The sequence below is a fragment of the Homo sapiens genome, chromosome 15 (genome assembly GCF_000001405.40).
Source record: "Homo sapiens chromosome 15, GRCh38.p14 Primary Assembly".
Lineage (NCBI taxonomy): Eukaryota > Metazoa > Chordata > Mammalia > Primates > Hominidae > Homo > Homo sapiens.
In genome coordinates, this window is record NC_000015.10 from 68953750 (window position 1) to 68966204 (window position 12455).

Sequence of the window (12455 nt, forward strand, 5' to 3'; positions counted from 1 at the left end):
TTAGGTGAGATGTAACTGTTCATGTTTTTTGAGGAATTGGTCTATTACATCCAACTTCTCAAATTTATGTTTTTAAAGTTGTTCGTAATATTCCTTTTTATCTTTTTGATGTTTACAGTCTTTAGTGAAATAACTTGTTTCATTCCTGGTAATAATTTGTGTCTTTCTTCTTTTTACCTTTTTCAGTCTTGCTAGAGGCTTGTGGATTTTATCTTTTCAAAGAGCAAACCAATAAAAATTTGTTTCATTAATTTTTCTTTATTGTTTTCTGTGTTAAATTTTATTGATTTCTGCTCTTTATCATTTCATTCCTTCTGCTTGCTTTGGGGATTTTGCTCTTATTTTTCTAGGTTCTTGGTGTTAGACTTTTTCTCTTTTCTAATGTATGAATTTAACACTATACATTTTCTTATAAGCATTGTTTTTTCCATGTCTTATAACTTTTGATATGCTGTATTTTCTTTTCCTTCAATTTAATGTATTTTTCATTTTATTTAATGACGTTGAACTTTTTGTTTGCCTATTGGCCATGTGTACATTTTCCTCTTTGAGACTTCCTCTTTGGCCCACGGATTATTTTAAAGTATGTCATATAGTTTCTAAGTGTTGGGGGAGTTTACTGTAATCCTTCCATCACTGATTTCTAGTTTGATTCTATTGCAGTCAGAGAAAAAACTATATATGATTTAATTCTTTTAAAATTGTTAAGGTTCATTTATGATCCAGGATATGGTATATACGTATAGAAAATAATGTATATTCTGTTGGTTGGAGGATTTTATAAATGTTAATTAGATCCTATTGTCTGTTGTTGATTTATTCTGTAATCTTTCTGATTTTCTATCAATTGTTGAAAGAGGAGTGCTGAGGTCTCCAACTGTAATTGTGGATTTGTGAATTTTTCCTTTCAGTTCTATCAGTTTTTGCTTCACATACTTTGCAGGTCCGTTGTTTATTGCATGTACATTTAGGATTGTTATGTCTTTTTGATGGACTGAACATTTAATCCTTGTATAATGTCCATTTATGCCTCTGGTAATTTTCTTTGTTATGAATTCTACCTTATTTGATATTAATATAGCCATTCTTGCTTTCCTTTGATTAATGTTTACTTGATATATTGTTTTTTATCCTTTTACTTTCAACCTGCCTATATCATTATGTTTGAAGTGAGTCTCTTGTAGAAAGTGTAACCTGGGTCATGTTTTATAATTCATTCTGCAATCTCTGCCTTTTAATTGGGCCATTTAAATTTAGTATAATTACTGGCATATTAGGGCTCATTTTGCTATTTTAGTTTATTTTATTTTTGTTTCATGTTTGTTCTCTCTGATTTTTGTTTCTCTGTTTTCTCTTTCCTGCCCTCCAGTGGATTACTTGAACATTTTTTGGAATTTTATTTTGATTTATTTATGTTTTATTTGAATAGATTTGTAGCAGTTACTCTAGGTAGCATATTACATATACATAACTTAAGACAGTGTACTGGTGTCATCATTTAACAGTTTGAGTGAAGAGTAGAAACCTTACCTCTCTTTAGATCCCTTTATCCTCTCCAACTTAGAATTGTCTTAACTATTTCCTCTACATACATTTAGAACCACATCAGACAGGATTATAAATTTTGATTTAACATCAAACATAATTTAGAAAACACAAAAGTAAAGAAAAATCTATTGTATCTACTCACATTTTTGCTCTAGCCATTATTTTCTTCTTTATGTTCCACGACTCCTTGCTTTATGATTTCTTTCTCATATAGAAAACTTCCTTATCCATTCTTTTAGTGTAGATCTTCCAGTGACAAATTCCCTTAGTTTTCCTTTGTCTGAAAATATCTTAATTTATTCTTTATTCCTGAAGGATGTTTTTACATGATATAGGGTTCCAGGTTGATCTTTCCTTTCATCAATTGAAAAATGTTGTGCTACTTTTTTCCCTGCCTTCATGGTTTTTGATGAGAGATCCACTGTCATTTCTATTGCTTTTTCTTATTGGTAAAATGTAATCTCTCTCTCACTGCTTTCAAGGGTTTTTTTTTTCTCTGACTTTAATTTTCAGAAGTTTGGATATAATGTGCCTTGGTATGGATTTCTTTGTATTTATCCTGCTTGAGATTTGCTCAGCTTCTGGAATCTGTAGGTTTATGCCTTTTGCCAAATTTAGACACTGTATCCATTCTTTTGAGGATGTTTTCAACTCTTTCCTTTTCTCCTCTTTTTATGAAACTCCAGTGACATGAATGGTAGATCTTTCATTATAGCCCCTTGGGTCCCTGAGGCTCATTCCATTCATTTTTGCTCCCAAACTTTTCCCAGTCTATTTTCTCTTTATTGATCAGATTGGGTAATTTCTATTGTTCTATCTTCAAGGATACTTATTATTTCATCTGTTCTCCCCATCCTTCTGTTGAGCACATCCACTGAGCTTTGTATTTCAATTATTGTATTTTTCAGTTCTAAAATTTCCATTTGGTACTTCTTTTTTTTTTTTTTTTTTTTGAGATGGAGTCTCGCTCTGTCACCCAGGCTGGAGGGCAGTGGCACAATCTTGGCTCACTGCAACCTCCACCTCCCGAGTTCAAGTGATTCTCCTGCTTCAGCCTCCCGAGTAGCTGGGACTACAGGCACATGCCACCACACCCAGCTAATTTTTGTATTTTTAGTAGAGATGGGGTTTCAACACATTGGCCAGGCTGGTCTTGAACTCCTGACCTTGTGACCCACCCGCCTCGGCCTCCCAAAGTGCTGGGATTACAGGTGTGAGCCACTGCGCTCGGCCTGGTACTTCTTTATATTTCCTAATTCTTTGCTAAGACTCTATTTTTTTGGGGGAGGGGAAGTTTTTATACTTTTTAATGGATTTCAAGCATGTTTATAATTGTTCACTGAAGCATTTTTATGATGGCTGATTTAAAATCTTTGTCATATAATTCAACATCTCTGTCATCTTGGTGTTGACATCTATTGATTATTTTCTCCATTGAGTAGTGGTAAAAATCCTGGCTCACCATTAGGGCTCCTCTGATACTACTGTAGTGGTGAGGGGGAGGAATGACTCATTAAGGCTGGGTGGGGGTGAAAGTCTAGGCTTTTCACCTGGTCTTCACTAATATAAAGTGGAGAATTCATACATCCAACAGAGATGAAAGTCCTGTATCCCTACTCAGCCTTCTCCAACACGCCCTTACAGCTTGGTGAGTATGGAAATCTAGGTTCCCAACTTGGCTTTTGCTAGTGCGGATGGAGATTGGATGGGGGTCACAGTTTTTCTGTAGTGTTTGGCTGGAATAGAATGGTTACTGTCTAAAAGTTTTCTGTGTTGTCCCCGATCCCTCTCTCAATCCTTTGGCTAGAGGGAAGAGGCTTTTGTTGGGGATTTTATGTCTGTGCCTGTTCATGTTTCTGGGTTGTCAGCTTCTCTAGCTCCAAGTTTGGGATATATGAGGCTAAAAGAAAATTCAGAGAATGCACCACCGTGTCATTCCTTGGGTTCAGAAGTCTTTAGCCAGTTTGGCTTTTTTTCTTCACCTTTTACAGTTATCTTATATTTGTTTTATATATAATATGCAGGACCTTTATTTGTATGTTGGAGATTGTACTTTATTCTTAAGACAATGAACATATTTTGAAAGATTTTAAGCATTTTTTGCAAGTCACTTTAAATGGCTTCAGTGTAGATAAAGGAAAGGAAGGAGCAAGACTGAGAGTAGAGGCCAGTTAGGAGACTGTCATAAAAATCTGGTGAAAGATGATGATCTCCTGGACTTGGATGGTAACAGAGGAGATGGAAATAAGTAGTAAATTTGAGAGATATTTAGGAATTAAGAACCAAGAATTTGGTGATTATTTTGTTACTGTAGGTAGTTAGACATGAACAGGGTAGGAAAGCCCTCTCCCGACCCCACCAGGAATGTCAGGCGACCATTAGATGATGGTCAGGTGGTTGTTAAACTGTCTCTCTAAAATAATACTTGGTTGCAACCAGTGCCGGGAAAAGGCATTCTCCCAGTAGATAGAAAAAACCTGACACTGGTGATCAGCAACTTCCCAGCAAAATCTCAAGAGCTGGGGAAGTGGGCTCAAGTATGTGCACTAAGAGGTAACATGATGGAGTTTAAACACTCGACAGGTAAGGGAAAAACACCTCGACTGAGTATGTGTACAACTTCAGTAATCACACTTAGTATGTGGCCCCTCTCAAGTGCTGGCAGGCCACTGCACATGTGCATGACCCACCCCCAGAGAAGAATCAAGGAAGGAGGAAAGAAGACCCCAGAGCCATGCCAGTGTATAAAACCCCAAGTCAAGGGCTGATGAAGTCACTTGGATCTCTCAAGTTTTCTCCTTGGCCCTCTTACAAGTTTACTTCCTTTTATTCCTGCTCTAAAAGTTTTTCATAAACGTTCACGCATGCTCTAAAACTTGCCTCAGTCTCTCCTTCTGCCTTCTGTCCGCTGGTCGAATTATTTCTTCTGAGGAGGCAAGAATTGAGGTTGCTGCAGACCCATACGATTCACTGCTGCTAACAATTTGATGTGCAAGATAAAGAAAGCGGTAAGGAATAACTTCTGTTTCCGACTTGAGCTACTTTGTGGGTGGTAGTGTACCTTGTCTTTTTTATAGCATGTATCAACATTGTATTATAATTTTATAGTTATTTATATGATTATTTGTTTAATGTTTGTCTCTCTTTACCAGATTGTAAGTCTATAAGAGAAGGAGTAATAAGAATTTTGTTCACTGCTGTACTCTCAGCAGCTAGCACAATGTCTGGCCTGTAATTATATGCTCAATAAATATTAATGCATTATGATATATTTAAAAGGGGAAGCATGCTTATGGAGAAGATGATTTTAGAAATCTCATTTTTGAATATATTAAATTTAAGTTGCCTATGAGACATATCCAGTTAGATATATTAGTCTGGAGCTTAAGAGATCTACAAATAACGATTTTGGAGCTACCTGGAAGCTAAATGGAGCTATCTGGAAGCTAAATGGAAATTTAAGCTATTGCAGTGGAGACATTCTTTATAGAGTGTACAGAGAAGAGGAGAAGACCTAGAACTAAGCTTTAAATATCTCTAATTTAGAGGGAAAAATGAAGAAAAGCACCTACCAAAGTGACCAAGTAAGAATAGTTAGAAAAGTGCTTAAAAATATTAAAACATTTGAAATATTTCTCCTGTATTTAACCACACCAGGAAAAGTGTGGTTAAATAGATGTCAAAGGAAGAAAGAGTGTTTAAAAAAGAGGGAGGATTTGACACTGTTGTAACTCAAAAATCAAACGAGATAAAGACTAAAAATCATCCACTGGATTAGTGCAAAAACGGTTTTGATAGGTTTGGAGATAAGCCATACTGGAAGAATGAGTTAAGGTAAGAAAATGGAGGCCGGGCGCAGTGGCTCACACCTGCAATCCCACCACTTTGGGAGGCCGAGGCAGGCGGATCACGAGGTCAGGAGATCGAAACCATCCTGGCAAACACAGTGAAACCCCATCTCTACTAAAATACAAAAAATTAGCCAGGCGTGGTGGCGGGCGCCTGTAGTCCCAGCTACTCAGGAGGCTGAGGCAGGAGAATGGCCTGAACCTGGGAGGCAGAGCTTGCAGTGAGCCGAGATTGCGCCACTGCACTCCAGCCTGGGTGACAGAGAGAGACTCCGTCTCAAAAAAAAAAAAGAAAAGAAAATGGAGACAAAAAGTAGAGACAATTCTTGAAATATTTAAGTGACTAGAATGAGAGAAAAAGGTGATGGGGGTGGGGGGAATGTAAAGCCCAGGGAGAATATTAGTTTGTTATTTTCAGATAGGTGAGACTGAGAGGTGAAGCCAGCTGGACTTCTAGGTCAGGTGGGGACTTGGAGAACTTTTCTGTCTTACAAGAGGATTGTAAAATGCACCAATCAGCACTCTGAAGCTAGAATTGTAAAACGCACCAATCAGTGCTCTGTGGCTAGCTAGAAGTTTATAAAATGTACCACCAATACATTGTAAAACATACCAATCAGCTCTTTGTGGCTAGCTAGAGGTTTATAAAATAGACCAATCAGCACACTGTAAAATGGAACAATCAGTGCTCTGTAAAATGGACCAATCAGCACTCTATAAAATGGACCAATCAGCAGGACATGGACGGAGACAAGAGAATAAAAGCTAGCCACCCCAGCCAGCAGCAGCAACCGGCTCAGGTCCCCTTCCATGCTGAGGAAGGTTTGGTCTTTTGCTCTCCACAGTAAATCTTGCTGCTGCTCACTCTTTAGGTCCACACCATCTGGAGCCCTAACACCGCAAAGGTCCGTGGCTTCATTCTTTAAGTCAGAGACATCATGACCCCACCCGAAGGAACCAACTCTGGACACGAGACTAGACCATGTTTAGCAGCTGATGAGAAAGAGCCAGTAGAAAAGGAGAGGTTGAAGATGGGGTGCAGAGAGTAATAGGAGGGAAGGAGAAGAAATGAATACAGATAAAGGTAAGTCTGAAGGTTTGGTAGCAAAAATTGAAGGAATTCCAGATTGTAGCTTCTAAACATTTTTTTAACGGTGTAGAAATTGATATCTGTTCAGATTAAGTTATAAGGTTTAAAAAAAGACAGCATATATGAAGGGCCTAGCATGTAGTAGGTGCTTAATAAATAGTAGCTTTGTGTTACTTGCAGTTTTAGAAAGGTTTTGTATGATTATAGCATTAGTACAGTATAATGTGATTTGAGAACATTTAAAATATTTTCTTTGTAGGTCTGCCAAAGTGCTTGAAACTCAACTTTGAGAAAGTGGTTACATTGGACTAAAGCATTGTAAAATACTGCTTTATCTGTTTTATTTGTTCATATTTTGGTGAGATGCATTACTTTATTTTATTATTTCAATAGTTTTTGGAGTACAGGTGGTTTTTGGTAATGTGGTTAAGTCCTATAGTGGTGAATTCTGAGATCTTAGTGCACTCGTCACCCAAGCAGTGTACACTGTACCCAATATGTAATCTTTTATCCCTAACTCCCCTCCATGTCCTGCTCCCCTTGGCGTCCCCAAAGTGCATTACATTATTCCGTATGTCTTCATGTCCTCACAGCTTAGCTCCCACTTATAAGTGAGAACATAGGGCATTTGGTTTTCCCATTCCTGAGTTACTTCATTTAGAATAATGACCTCCAGCTCCATTCAGGTTGCTGCAAAAGACATTATTTTGTTCTTTTTTATGGCTGAGTAGTATTCCACGATGTATATATGCCACATTCTCTTTATTCACTTGGCACTTAGGTTGGTTTTACATCTTTGCAATTGCACATCTTGCTGAGGTATCCATGCATGTGTGTGTGTCTTTTTCATGTAATGACTTTTTTTCCATTAGGTAGATACCCAGTAGTGGGATTGCTGGATCAAATGCTAGATCTACTTTTAGTTCTTTAAGGAATCACCATACTGTTTTCCATAGTGGTTGTACTAAATTACATTCCCAACAGTAGTGTAGAAGTGTTCCCTTTTCACCACATTCACACCAATATATTGTTTTTTGACTTTTTAATTACGGCCATTTTAAAAACAAAAAAAAATAATTTTGGCCATTCTTTCTGGAGTAAGGTGGTATCTCACTGTGGTTTTAATTTGCGTTTCCCTGATGATTAGTGATGCTGAGCATTTTTCCATACATTTGTTGGCTGTTTGTATATCTTCCTTTGAGAAATGTCTATTCATGTCCTTTGACCACTTTTAGATGGGATTCTTTTTTTTTTCTTTAATGCAGTGTTTTAAAATGTAGCCAACTTCTTGTTTAGTTCCTAGTTAAATAAAACCCTTAAAAAGGGTTTTTTAAACTGACAAAAATTGTATATAATTATCATGTATAACATGTTTTGAAATATATAAACATGGAAGAGAATTAAATTGAGGTAATTAAGATATGCATTACCTCACACACTTATTTTTTTGAGATGAGAACACTTAAAATCTACTCTCTTAGCAATTTTCAAGAATGTAACACATTATTGTTTAAATCTCCTTTGATGCTTTCCTGCAGGTTCAGCCTTGCCCCAGTCCCTTCCTCTTCTGTTTTTTGAATTTGTGAAGGATTAGTGTTAATTCATGCTTAATGTTTGGGTAGAATTCACCAGTGAAGCCATCTGGTCCTGAACCTTTCTTTCTTGAGAGGTTTTTGGTTGCTGATTCAATCTCTTGGCTTACTCTATGTCTGTCAAGATTTTTATAGCTTCAAATCTTACGGTTAAGTCTTTAATCCATCCTGAGTTAATTTTTTGTATATGGTAAGAGATAAAGATCCAGTTTCATTCTTCTGCATATGACTAGCCATTTTTTCCAGTACCATTTATTGAATAGGGTGTCCCTTCCTCCATTTGTTGAAGTTGGTTGTAGGGGTGTGGCGTTATTTCAGGGTTCTCTATTCTGTTATTTTTGCTTAGTACTGCTTTGGCTATTTGGACTCTTTTTTGGTTCCATATGAATTTTAGAATTGTTTTTTCTAATTCTGTGGAAAATGATGTTGGTGGTTTGATAGAATTTCATTAAATCTGTAGATTGCTTTGGGCGGTATAGTCACTTTATCAATATTGATTCTTTCTACCCATGAGCATGGGATGTTTCTCCATTTGTTTGTGTCATTTACAATTACTTTTGTCTATATTTTGAGGTTCTCCTTGTAGATGTCTTTCACCTCCTTGGTTAAATGTATTTCTAGATATTGTATTTTTTTGTGGCCATTGTAAAGGGGATTGAGTTCTTGATTTGGTTCTTAGCTTGAGCATTGTTGGTGTATAGCAATACAATTGGTTTTTGTGCATTAATTTGGAACCTGAAACTTTACTGAAGTTGTTTATCAGGTCTAGAAGTCTTTTGGAGGAATCTTTGGTTTCCTAGTTTGGTATAAGTTTATGTCATTCGGCAAACAATGATAAATTGACTTCCTCTTTTTCTATTTGGGTACCTCCTTTTATTTCTTTGTCTTGCCTGATTGCCCTGGCTAGGACTTCCAGTACTATATTGAATAGGAGTGGTGAGAATGGATATCCTTGCCTTGTTCCAACTCTTAGGAGGAATCCTTTCAACTTTTCCCTGTTCAGTATGATGTTGGTTGTGGGTTTGTCATAGATGGCTCTTACTATTTTAAAGTTTGTTCCTTCAATGCCCAGTGTGTTGAGAGTTTTTCTTATGAAGGGATATTGGATTTTATCAAATGCTTTTTCTGCATTTATTGAGATGATCATATGGTTTTTGTTTTTAATTCTGTTTATGTGGTGAATCATTTATTGACTTGCATATGTTAAATCATCCTTGCGATCCCTGGAATAATTATCGTGATGAATAATTTTTTCATTTTATTTTATTCCTTTATTTTTTGAGACAGGGTCTCTCCCTATCCTGGGTTGGAGTGCAGTGGCCCAATCAGGGCTCACAGCAGCCTTGACTTTGTGGGCTTGAGTGCTTCTCTTGCTTTAGCCCCCCAACTAACTGGGACTACAGGCATGTGCCACCACATCCAGCTAATTTTTTTGAATTTTAGTAGAGATGAGGTCTCACTATGTTGTCCAGGCTGGTCTTGAACTCCTGAGCTCAAGCAATCCTTCTGCCTTTGACTCCCAAAGTGCTGGGATTACAGGCATAAGCCACCATGTCTGGCTATGATGAATGATCTTTTTGTGTGCTTCTAGATTTGCTTTGCTAGTCTTTTGTTGAGGATTTTGCATCTATGTTTATTACAGATACTGGTCCGCAGTTTTCTTTTTTTGTTGTGTCCTTGCCAGATTTTGGTATCAGAATGATACTGGTTTTATAAAGTGAGTTAGGGGAATCCCTCCTCTCTGATTTTGTGAATTGTTTCAGTAAGATTGGTACCAGCTCTTCTTTATATGTCTAGTAGAATTTGGCTGTGACTCCATCCGGTCCTGAGCTTTTTTTAGTTGGTAGATTTTTTGTTTTTTTTTTTTATTGATCATTCTTGGGTGTTTCTCGCAGAGGGGTATTTGGCAGGGTCATAGGACAATAGTGGAGGGAAGGTCAGCAGATAAACAAGTGAACAAAGGTCTCTGGTTTTCCTACGCAGAGGACCCTGCGGCCTTCCGCAGTGTTTGTGTCCCTGGGTACTTGAGATTAGGGAGTGGTGATGACTCTTAACGAGCATGCTGCCTTCAAGCATCTGTTTAACAAAGCACATCTTTCACCGCCCTTAATCCATTTAACCCTGAGTGGACACAGCACATGTTTCAGAGAGCACAGGGTTGGGGGTAAGGTCCCAGATCAACAGGATCCCAAGGCAGAAGAGTTTTTCCTAGTACAGAACAAAATGAAGAGTCTCCCATGTCTACCTCTTTCTACACAGACACGGCAACCATCCGATTTCTCAATCTTTTCCCCACCTTTCCCCCCTTTCTATTCCACAAAACCGCCATTGTCATCATGGCCCGTTCTCAATGAGCTGTTGGGCACACCTCCCAGACGGGGTGGTGGCCGGGCAGAGGGGCTCCTCACTTCCCAGTAGGGGCGGCCAGGCAGAGGTGCCCCTCACCTCCCGGACGGGGCGGCTGGCCGGGCGGGGGGCTGACCCCCCCACCTCCCTCCCGGACGGGGTGGCTGGCCAGGCGGGGGGCTGACCCCCCCACCTCCCTCCTGGACGGGGCGGCTGGCCGGGCAGAGGGACTCCTCACTTCCCAGTAGGGGCGGCCGGGCAGAGGCGCCCCTCACCTCCCGGACGGGGTGGCTGGCCGGGCGGGGGGCTGACCCCCCCCCCTCCCTCCCGGACGGGGCGGCTGGCCGGGCAGAGGGGCTCCTCACTTCCCAGTAGGGGCGGCCGGGCAGAGGCGCCCCTCACCTCCCGGACAGGGCGGCTGGCCGGGCAGGGGGCTGACCCCCCACCTCCCTCCCGGACGGGGCGGCTGGCCTGGCGGGGGCTGACCCCCACCTCCCTCCCGGACGGGGTGGCTGCCGGGCGGAGACGCTCTTCACTTCCCAGACGGGGTGGCTGCCGGGCGGAGGGGCTCCTCACTTCTCAGACGGGGTGGTTGCCAGGCAGAGGGTCTCCTCACTTCTCAGATGGGGCGGCCGGGCAGAGACGCTCCTCACCTCCCAGACGGGGTCACGGCCGGGCAGAGGCGCTCCTCACATCCCAGACGGGGCAGCGGGGCAGAGGTGCTCCCCACATCTCAGACGATGGGCGGCCGGGCAGAGACGCTCCTCACTTCCTAGATGGGATGGCGGCCGGGCAGAGGCGCTCCTCACTTCCTAGATGGGATGGCGGCCGGGCAGAGACGCTCCTCACTTTCCAGACTGGGCGCCAGGCAGAGGGGCTCCTCACATCCCAGACGATGGGTGGCCAGGCAGAGACGCTCCTCACTTCCCAGACGGGGTGGCGGCTGGGCAGAGGCTGCAATCTTGGCACTTTGGGAGGCCAAGGCAGGCGGCTGGGAGGTGGAGGTTGTAGCGAGCCGAGATCATGCCACTGCACTCCAGCCTGGGCACCATTGAGCACTGAGTGAATGAGACTCCGTCTGCAATCCCGGCACCTCGGGAGGCCGAGGCTGGCGGATCACTCGCGGTTAGGAGCTGGAGACCAGCCCGGCCAACACAGTGAAACCCCGTCTCCACCAAAAAAAAATATGAAAACCAGTCAGGCGTGGTGGCGCGCGCCTGCAATGGCAGGCACTCGGCAGGCTGAGGCAGGAGAATCAGGCAGGGAGGTTGTAGTGAGCCGAGATGGCAGCAGTACAGTCCAGCTTCGGCTCGGCATCAGAGGGAGACCGTGGAAAGAGAGGGAGAGGGAGACCGTGGGGAGAGGGAGAGGGAGAGGGAGAGGGAGACCATGGGGAGAGGGAGAGGCAGAGGGACAGGGACAGGGACAGGGACAGCTAGTTGGTAGATTTTTTTATTACTGATTCAATTTCATAACTTGTTACTGGTCTGTTCAGGATTTCAACTTCTGGATCAATCTTGGGGGCTGTATGTTTCCAGGAATTTATCCATGTCCTCTAGGTTTTCTAGTTTGTGTGCATAAAGATGTTCATAGGAGTCTCTGAGGATCTTTAGTATTTCTGTGGTTTCAGTTATAATGTCATCTTTGCAATTTCTGACTGTGCTTATTTGGATCTTCTTTCCTGATTTCTTGGTTAATGTAGCTAGTGGTCTATCAATTTTGTTTATTCTTTCAAAGAATCAACTGTTCATTTTATTGACCTTTTATATGATATTTTTTGTGTCAGTTTCATTTAGTTCTGCTCTTATCTTTGTGATTTCTTCTGCTGGCTTGGGGTTTGGTTTGTTCCTATTTTTCTACTTCCTTGAAGTGCAACATTAAGTTGTTAATTTGAAGTCTTTTTGTCTTTTTGATGTAGGCATTTGGCACTATAAACTTCCCTCTTAACACTTTCTTCTCTTTTTTTTTGCTGTATCCCAGAGGTTTTGGTATGTTGTGTCTCTGTTTTCACTTGTTTCCAAAAAAAAATGT

At 41.0% G+C, this 12455-nt stretch overlaps 1 protein-coding gene across 3 annotated transcripts in view; it reads left to right on the forward strand.

The window, feature by feature from the left end:
- The window catches only part of SPESP1-NOX5 (SPESP1-NOX5 readthrough), a 132238-nt gene that overhangs the window by 23225 nt on the left and 96558 nt on the right, over nt 1-12455 (forward strand). The window lies entirely within an intron of this gene.